Consider the following 10,446-nt stretch of genomic DNA (forward strand, 5'->3'; position numbering starts at 1 on the left):
TTGCTTACTGATGAGCCAAGTTTGGAGACAAGTACATTTCTTTCTTTTACAACGTTTTCTATTTTCTCAAAAATAAGAATTGACTGTCCTCATTTTTTCCATTTTGTTTTGTTTTGTTTTTGAGTCTATAGCTGAATCTTCCTGTACCCTCAGATAGCTTCGTAAAATGCCTCTCTAGATGTTTTTCCACACAACTGAACCTACTGGTTCCCATTTGTCCACTGGGGCCCTTCCTCCTGGAGCCCTTTGTCCTCCTGCTCATCTGAACTGGCTGCTGTCTGGGCCTGCGGCACAGCTGTCATCCTAAGCCTGCCTTGCTGGCATCCTAGGAGTTCCCTTACCCCTCTTCTAAGCATGTGATTGCAAGGAACAAAACACTCGGTCTCACACTGGCTCAGACAAAAGGATGCAGTATATATAATCCCATGTTCCATGACTTCCAGAGGAAGAGTGGGCTTCAGCTCCTCCTTTTTGTAATTCCCAGGCTCTGTCTTCCTGCCTGGCCAGCTTTATTATCAGGCTAGTGACAATGACTGCAGCTCTTCCTGGCATCATGTCCAGAATGTCCAAAGGAAGAAGAGACAAGCATTTCCTGTTCACTCTTTCTTAGAACAAGGGAACTTTTTCTCAGATGCCTTCCAGTATCTCATGATTGCCTCATTGCATTTTCAGAATTGAGTAACAGGCTCCTTCTTAAACCACTCCTTAGCAGAGGATGGCAGGGGTGACTTTGATGGGCCTAGATGAATCAGGATCAACTTCTGGAGCTGGCTTTGAAGACCCAGTCCCCTGAGTTAAATGATTAGGGAGTTAATTCCTTATAAAATCAAGGTTTTCTTAGGGGTGGAATAAATGTTGAATTAGGCTACTACTAATATCAACTAAAGGAGGTAAAAGTTTTGAGATTTTTCATGAATGAAAATGTTTCACATGCTTGTTGGCCATGTATATGTTGTCTTTTGAAAAGTATCTGTTCATGTCCTTTGCCTATTTTTTAATGGGTTTGGTTTTTTCTTATAAATGTAAGTTCCTTATAGATGGTGGATATTAGACCTTTGTCAGATGCATAGTTTGCAAACATTTTCTCCCATTCTGTACGTTGCCTGTTTACCCTGTTCATAGTTTCTTTTGCTGTGCAAAAGCTTTATAGTTTAATTAGGTCCCCTGTGTCAGTTTTTGCTTCTGTTGCAATTGCTTTTGGCCTCTTAGTCATGAAATCTTTGCCCGTTCCTATGTACAGAATGATAAAAGCAAAACATCACTGACCATTAGAGAAATGCAAATCAAAACCACAGTGAGATACCTTCTCACACCAGTCAGAATAGGTATTATTAAAAAGTCAAAAAATAACAGGTGCTGGTGAGGTTGTGGAGAAAAAGGAATGCTTATATGCTGGGTGAGAGTGTAAATTAGTTCAACTGTTGTGTAAGGCAGTGTGGTGATTCCTCAAAGACCTGAAGACAGAATTACCATTCAACCCAGCAATCCTGTTACTGGGTATATACCCAGAGAAATATAAATTGTTGTGTCATAAAGACGCATGCACACGTATGTTCATTGCAGCACTATTCACAGTAGCAAGACATGGAATCTACCTAAATGCTTATCAACGGTAGACTGGTTAAAGAAAATGTGGTACAAATACACTGTGGAATACTATCCAGCCATAAAAAACAATAAGATCATGTCCTTTGCCGGAATATGGATGAAGCTGGAGGCCATTTTCCTTAGCAAACTAATGCAGGAACAGAAAACCAAGTGTTGCATGTTTCACTTATAAGTGGGAGTTAAATGATGAGAACACATGGAGACATAGCGGGGAACAACATACACTGGGGCCTACTAGATGGGGGAGGGTGGGAGGAGGGAGAGGATCAGGAAGAATAACTAATGGATACAAGGCTTAATACCTGGGCGATTAAATAATCAGTACAGCAAACCTCCGTGACACAAGTTTACCTCTATAGCAAACCTGCACATGTACCCCTGAACTTAAAAGTTTAAAAAAAAAAACAACAACTCTATAGCTTCCATGTTCGAATTTATAGTTCAGCCAGGATTAGAATTTTAGATTGAAAACCATTTCACTCAGAATTTTGAAGCAGTGCTCCACTGCCTGCTGCCTTCCAATATTGTTCCTGGCTATATCTGTGCTTCATCCATTACCTCTTCCCCAACTTCTCCTCTTCTGTATGAGGTAGAGGCCATTGCGTAGGTCATCAGTAAAATGCCCCACAGGTCTTTTGGATGGCTTCTATAATACTCTATTTCCTATGATGTGATAGGTAAAACAATGGACAAACAGTTAAGAAACCTGTGTTTTAGTCTATTCCAATCTGTATGATCTTGAACAAGTCACCTAACTTCACTCACCCCTAAATTTTTATGAATCTGTTCTAAAAGCAACTTCAGAAATTATTTGTCAGTACACATCTCTTTAATAACTGCTTAGAGAAGTTTGGCTTAAATATAAATCTTGCTATGTTTCCCCATAATAAGCAGAAACATGAATTATTACTTCCACTGACTCAAAGCAGTGCCAGGTAAACATTTTAATAATGTCCATTTAAGAAATGGCCATAGCTTGTAAGTAGTTACATCCTCATCAAGAACTTTTGCTGTGAGCCTGTAAAGAAATAGAGTTTTTCTCATAAAACAAGTTTTATTCTCTCCCATGTGGCTTTTTCTGACTCCATATTTCCATCCTACCAGCACCCCCAACCCCTCTCGCACACAGAGGTTAAAGGAGTACATAATTACAGAAAGAGATCCCCCAGGCGATTATAGAAGAGTGGTTGCGTTCTTTACCTTGAAGATATGAGAACTACCATAATTTAAAGTGGAGACCAGCATATAATGATACACTCAGCAACTGTTTGTATGTTAACAAGGTATTCAGAGCAGTGAAATATTTTATGTAAGTTAGCTATATTTTGTAGCTATATTATACATTATATATATAATTATATAAGAACATTGTTACAACTATCTCTTGTGCACTCTTTATATATGTATACATATATACATATATATACATATATACATATATATATACATATATACATATATATACACACACACACACACACACACTATATAAAAAAATTAAAAGTCATTAATAGGCTGGGCATGGTGGCTCACGCCTGTAATCTCAGCACTTTGGGAGGCCAAAGTGGGCAGATCACCTGAGGTCGGGAGTTCAAGACCAGCCTGACCAACATGGAGAAACCCTGTCTCTACTAAAAATACAAAAAGTAGCCGGGCATGGTGGTGCATACCTGTAATCCCAGCTACTCAGGAGGCTGAGGCAGGAGAATCACTTAAACCCGGGAGGTGGAGGTTGTGGTAAGTCGAGATCATGCCATTGTACTCCAGCTTGGGCAACAAGAGCGAAACTCCGTCTCAAAAAAAAAAAAAAAAAAAATTCATTAACAAATTTTTGGATAGGGGGATTTTGTGGCATTTATCAGGCTCCCAGAAAATACTGATGGCTGGATGGATGGATAGATGGACAGACAGACAGATGAATGAATCTTGTTTAGAAAGGTCAGCATGGGATCTAGATTATATTGGAGAGCTGGAGACAGGGAGATCAGTTAGGACTAACACAGTTGAAGTGATAAACTATTTTTCTGTCTTAAAGTTAAGAAATGGCTTTTTTTGATTGCCTATTGCCTTTCACTTCACTCTTAGTCTTGTGAACTTTGAAGAGTTACAAAAAATTATCCAGGTTTGCAGGCACTGGCTTCTAGCTGCATCTTCCCTAATCTGTTCCCACCTACTTCCGCACCTGTGTTTCTCAACTTTCATTTGGGGGCAAAAGGTACTGTCAGTGCCTTGCAACGGAAGTTTAGGTCTGTGTTTCTGAGTGAGTTGGCATTCTTTCCACCTCCCACTTCAGCACCCACCCTTGGAAAGCTCTTATCTGTCTGCTGCCGAATTCTTAGAGGAGGGCCAGGAAAAATCCATTGTCCTTTTTCTCTGTCATGTTCAGTCTTTGGCTTTTTAAATTTTCACTGATAAAAGAAGAAAAGCATACACATCTATCAAATGAAATAATGATTGAGAAAAAGCTTTTAATAAACTCATAAGTATACTGGGATTGTAGAAATCTTTGTAACTCTTGTCCACCTTGGACATTTCTGCAGCACAGTGCACATTTTGCAGCACAATTATATTGAATTTCATAATAAAAGTTACATAATATCCTGAGCTGCTTTAGCTTAAACTACATGCAGTGGTTTATGATAATTATTGTACTTCATTATATCCCAGTTCTTTTAAAGTTTTAAGTTCATGTGTATGTATATATATGACAGGCTGGGTCCTCTAGGAGGCAGATTCTGAGATTTGCATTCAGGAGGTTCATTCGGAGTGCTGGGCTGTGTTATGGTCAAAAGGCTTCAGCCAGCCCTGCAGAGAACTCTGAGGCTAGAGTGGTCCTTCAGAGTTACCTCAACTTGGGGTGAGGGGGATAGACCTCTATACCTTTATTAGTTATCTCTATTAGTTTGGGGTAATTTGCAAACAGTGTGCAACAGATTACCCCCCAAAACATAGCGGCTTAGAACAACAAACATTTATTACCTCATAATTTCTGTGAGTCAGGAGTCCAGGTGCAACTTAGCTGAACACCTCTAAGGCTGAAAACTGTAGCCCTGTAAGAGACCCTCTAGTTCGGTTCCTCACAGGGCTACAGTCAGTCACTAATCAGGGCAGCAGCCATGTCAAGGCTTCCCAGCCCACACATGGCTCTTGCCAAGCCTCCCAATATCTGCTTCCAAGCCCACTCATGTGGCTGTTGGCATGCCTTAGGCTCTCACCAACTGTTGGTGGGAGACATCAGTTTCTTTCCATGTGAGCATCTCCACAGACAGCCCACAACATGGCGGCTGGCTTCCCTCAGAGCAGGCAGGCAACAAAATGAGAGTACCCAAGTCAGAAGCCACAACCTTTCTGTAACCTAATCTCTGAAGTGACATCTCATCACTTTTGCCGTATTCTGTTTGTTAGAAGTGAGTCACTGGTTAGGAATGATACAGAGAGGGAATGACACAAGCACGTGAACACCAGCAGGCAGAGGTCTTTGGTGGCCATCTTAGAGGCTGCCTACAACAACCAGTCACTGGCTGTAGGCTGCCCCAAAGCGGGATGTGGTCTTGGGTGAAGCCCCTCCCTTCAGCTGCAACAATTTCCAAAGAAGGCAAACAGTCGAGGGTTGCAGGCCAGCAATCTTTCTGACAGCTGAGGGAATAAACTCTTTAGTCCTAAGTGGGATCTGGGTGGTACTGAACAGAATCCGGTATGTATAGCTCTTAGTTAACCTGAATATTTAATAAACCAGACCATCTTAATCCTGTTATTTAAACTGGCCAACATGTAATATTTTCTTTTCTGTTTTTAAGGGAGAAATTATAGGCCTGGTATGGTGGTTCATGCCTGTAATCCCAGCACTTTGGGAGGCCAAGGTGGGTGGACCACTTGTGCCCAGAAGTTCGAGAGCAGCCTGGGCAACATGGCCAAAACCCCATCTCTACAAAAAAAAAATTAGCTAGGTGTGGTAGTATGCACCTGTAGTTTCAGCTACTCGGGAGGCTGAGATGGGATAATCACCTTGAACCTGGAAGATTGAGACTGCCAGTGAGCTGAGATTGCGCCACTGCACTCCAGCATGGATGACAGAGTCAGACCCTGTCTCAGAAACATAAAAAGGAGAAATTATATTGTATCAACCACGTACTAAGATCATTCTCATCCTGGCGCAGTGGCTCACGCCTGTAATCCCAACACTTTGAGAGGCCAAGGAGGGAGGATTGTTTAAAGCCAGGAGTTCGAGACCAGCCTGAGCAACATAGCAAGACCTGATCTCTACAAAAAATATTAAAAAATTAGCTGAGTGTGGTGGCATGAACCTGTAGTCCTAGCTACTTAGGAGGCTAGGCAGGAGGATTGCTTGAGCCCAGGAGTTTGATGTTACAGTAAGGTATGATTGTGCCACTGCACTCCAGCCTAGGTAATAGAACAAGACCCTATCTCTAAAAAAGTAAATAAATAAAAACATTCTCTTTTTAATATAGACGTTCAGTTCAAATTTGCAATGAATCATTGTTAAAAACTATTTTAAGTGAACTAAAAGATAGATCCTATATGCACACAGCAGTTTCAAAACAGTATTTACCCTTTTCTAGACATATCAAATTGATAAATGGATCTAACAGGCAAGTAGGAACAGTGATTTCAGATTGTACGATTTAATAAAGTTATGAGAACTTACATGTCCTTTTTAATCCTCTAATTTATTTCAGCTTTCAGGCACAGTTTTGATCTCCTTTCTTTATTTCACAGGCGCAGCAGAACAAGTCCCTGATTTTGTCACCTTCCTTTACCAAATAACTAGAGGAATTGCAGCAAGGAGTTATGGATTAAATGTGGCTAAACTAGCAGATGTTCCTGGAGAAATTTTGAAGAAAGCAGCTCACAAGTCAAAAGAGCTGGAAGGATTAATAAATACGAAAAGGTCAGAGTGATTATGCTGCATTTTTTCATTTGTAATGAAACCTTCTAAGTTGTCCAAGAAAGAGAGGAGCGTCCTAAAAATGAACATCAGGTCTACTTTTAAGCACCTCTTCAAATATTCTGAACCATTTAATTATGATGAAGTGAAAACAGCTCTTGCAAAGCTCAGGTGAATTCAGTCCATCTTCATTAGATCATTATTAAGTTGCTAAATTGGTTTTTCGGTCATTTTTATAAAGAATTAAGTTAACTCCTTAATATGTGCCACATTCATTACTTTAAAGATTCAGTATGCCAAAGGTTACTGAAGATATTGAGAACCTACAGAAGATTTCTTTTATTCATAGATTTTATTCAGATATGCAACGATTACATCCAGAAATTCTATCAGAGCATTAATGAAAATAATAGTATTACATAACAGGCAATCACAGTCAGTATCCACATGTCACTTATTTTGTAGATTGTGACAAATTTTTCATTCTAAACAGGCTGCTGTCACTTTAAATGCTTATGGGAATACTTTCCACCTTTACGCTTGCTATCCAGCTAGTATGTAGTCAGTACATAAATTAATCTTAATGTAAACCTGAGATACACTTTGAAAGAAAGATATTCCTAGAAAAATATCATATTAGTAAATTATACCCTTTTGTTTCCCAAATATAAAATTCTAAAACAACATAAGCTCCCCATCCACCTACTGCCCCACCCCTGCCGTACTTGGGGAGCCTGGTGTGCTGGGTACATTAGTACCCTGGTTGATAATCATATGACCATGATGAACAGATTGTTGATCGAATAGAAAATCTTGGCTGGCTACTGGTGGTCCCTGTGTTATACTCCAATAATATTCTTTAATATTTGGTTATAATTCTGGGAATTATTACCAAATTTCAATATTGAAATAGTAATGCCTATCATACTAGCTAAAGAAACAGTTGCTAACTTGTTTACCAAAGTACAGTAGTGCAGTTAACTTCTCTTTCTCTACCTCCTTCTCCTGTGCTTCCGCCTTGCACTCCTCCACTTCGGTATACTGTAGTTCACCAAGTCCAGAGTGCTGGACTCTACAAATGGCACACAGCCTCCTCTAGTGACACTCTTTTCTGGCTCATTTCCAAATTGCAATGCCAAAACAGAAGCAAAGTGGCATAATCAGTTTCAGCCTATTTCTGTTACAAGCCAGATTAATATAAAATTTTTCCTGAGGGAAAAGTATCTATGAGAATTTAAAAATAAACTTAGCCCTCTTCCTCTGCAAAGTCCAGAGACAAATTAAACTCTTTAGTTGCCATATTATTATTGTTCTTTTTCTCTGAAAAAAACCTAGAATAAAACTTTACTACAAAGGATATATATACAAGATAGTAATAAAATATGTCAATTTCTAAATTTGCTGTAGAAATATATGCAAGATAGCAATAAAATATGGCAATTTCTATATTTTCATATATTCTTGTTTCTGCTATATAGCCTATAAAGCAAGAGCAAAAAAACTCTCAGATTACTCATAAATATTTTAACTCTTCCAACTAGTAAGTGACATTTTGAACTCTATGAAGTTATCTTGACAAGATGAGAGAATTATTAGAAGACATTGCATTGGGATGGAATCTGATCATTTATCAAGATACTGTATTTGTTATTTTACCTTTTTTCTAAAAGTGCTTATCACATCAATTCCTTTGGCCAGATCAAAGAAATCAAACTGCATCTTGGGCCTTACTGTGGATTTGTTATAATAGTTGCTATTTGTTGGATGGTTACTGTGTGTAGAAACCATTCTGAGCAGTCATTTGCAGCAGCCTACACACTGTGCCAGCTACTCTTCTCATCACTTTACATACATTATCTCATTTCATCCTTATGGCAGCCTTATCCTCATGGTATAGTTGGGGAAAGTGAGACCAGCAAGGACAGGACACTGACCCAGAGTCACACAGCTACTTGATGGTGGAGCAGTAATTGGAACTCAGGTACTCTAGCTCCATACCCTAAATAGTCAATTGGGTTGCTATTCTGCAGAAAAAAAAAAAAAGTAAGTCTGTGTTATGCTGGCGTTTTACTCTTTAATTAGCTTCATTGTTTTCGGTTGGTGTTACTTTTCATCCTGGGAACACTTCATAGGAGTTTCTTTTCTCCAGGTACAAATAAGCACACACCACCAGCCTCTAGCAGAGTTTGAAGGAGGAGGAGGTCAGGTTCTCCCCTCTGGGGCTGGCAGGGGTAAGGATTTTAGGAGAAGGCACAAAGGTAATAGTGGCAATTGGTAACCTGGGTCCCTTGATTATAGTAGCAGCTCTGAAAGCTCCTTTCACTGGAAGGGTGACACTGACACAGCTTCCTAACTATAGAGCCTGCCCGGTATTCAAGTGTTATAGACTTTTCATAGCTTCTGATGAGACGTATTGTCTCCCAGCAATTTCATTTATTAAATAAGTAGTATTTGATTTTTCCCCAGAAAGAGACTCAAGTATTTTGCAAAGTTATGGACGATGCATAATGCACAAGACCTGCAGAAGTGGACAGAGGAGTTCAACATGGAAGAAACACAGACTTCTCTTCTTCATTAAAATGAAGACTACATTTGTGAACAAAAAATGGAGAATTAAAAATACCAACTGTACAAAATAACTCTCCAGTAACAGCCTATCTTTGTGTGACATGTGAGCATAAAATTATGACCATGGTATATTCCTATTGGAAACAGAGAGGTTTTTCTGAAGACAGTCTTTTTCAAGTTTCTGTCTTCCTAACTTTTCTACGTATAAACACTCTTGAATAGACTTCCACTTTGTAATTAGAAAATTTTATGGACAGTAAGTCCAGTAAAGCCTTAAGTGGCAGAATATAATTCCCAAGCTTTTGGAGGGTGATATAAAAATTTACTTGATATTTTTATTTGTTTCAGTTCAGATAATTGGCAACTGGGTGAATCTGGCAGGAATCTATCCATTGAACTAAAATAATTTTATTATGCAACCAGTTTATCCACCAAGAACATAAGAATTTTTTATAAGTAGAAAGAATTGGCCAGGCATGGTGGCTCATGCCTGTAATCCCAGCACTTTGGGAGGCCAAGGTAGGCAGATCACCTGAGGTCAGGAGTTCAAGACCAGCCTGGCCAACATGGCAAAACCCCATCTTTACTAAAAATATAAAGTACATCTCTACTAAAAATACGAAAAAATTAGCTGGGCATGGTGGCGCACACCTGTAGTCCCAGCTACTCCGGAGGCTGAGGCAGGAGAATCTCTTGAACCTGGGAGGCGGAGGTTGCAATGAGCCGAGATCACGTCACTGCACTCCAGCTTGGGCAACAGAGCAAGACTCCATCTCAAAAAAAAAAAAAGAAAAAAGAAAAGAAATAGAATTATCAAGCTTTTAAAAACTAGAGCACAGAAGGAATAAGGTCATGAAATTTAAAAGGTTAAATATTGTCATAGGATTAAGCAGTTTAAAGATTGTTGGATGAAATTATTTGTCATTCATTCAAGTAATAAATATTTAATGAATACTTGCTATAGATGATGGTATGTCCCATTGAATTTTGGTGTTTCCAAGTGTTTGGAAATTGTCATTTTTTAAGGTGTAATTATGAAATTAAGGTTACTGCTTTGACCAGCGCAATACACAGAAGTGAACTTGTTCATTTGGGACCTTTCTGTTCATTAACATATCAGGTGTATCATCTTCCCAGTAATGAGCCTTATAGCTTAGTTGATTCATAACAGTGCTCCCTTCCTGCAAATTTAGGGTAACACGTGCTCAACTGTGTCCCTGGGTTTTTTACAGCACTTACAATCTGGCTTCCCAGATCCATGTGTTCTTTTTGTTTCTAAATATATGATCTTGCACAAAAGCTCTCCATCCTATTTTCCTCTCTTTTATTATTTCTGCTCAGTTAAATGTCTTCCCCACATTTGA

General features: G+C 39.1%; 1 protein-coding gene across 1 annotated transcript in view; it reads left to right on the plus strand.

The window, feature by feature from the left end:
• The window catches only part of MSH3 (mutS homolog 3), a 222,164-nt gene extending 212,119 nt beyond the window's left edge, over window positions 1–10,045 (plus strand). The window contains exons 23-24 of the mRNA NM_002439.5: window positions 6,346–6,517; window positions 8,981–10,045. Coding sequence (NP_002430.3) covers window positions 6,346–6,517; window positions 8,981–9,092 — 284 coding nt within the window. The 3' untranslated portion in view covers window positions 9,093–10,045. The remainder of the gene's footprint in view (window positions 1–6,345; window positions 6,518–8,980) is intronic.

The sequence above is a fragment of the Homo sapiens genome, chromosome 5 (genome assembly GCF_000001405.40).
Source record: "Homo sapiens chromosome 5, GRCh38.p14 Primary Assembly".
Lineage (NCBI taxonomy): Eukaryota > Metazoa > Chordata > Mammalia > Primates > Hominidae > Homo > Homo sapiens.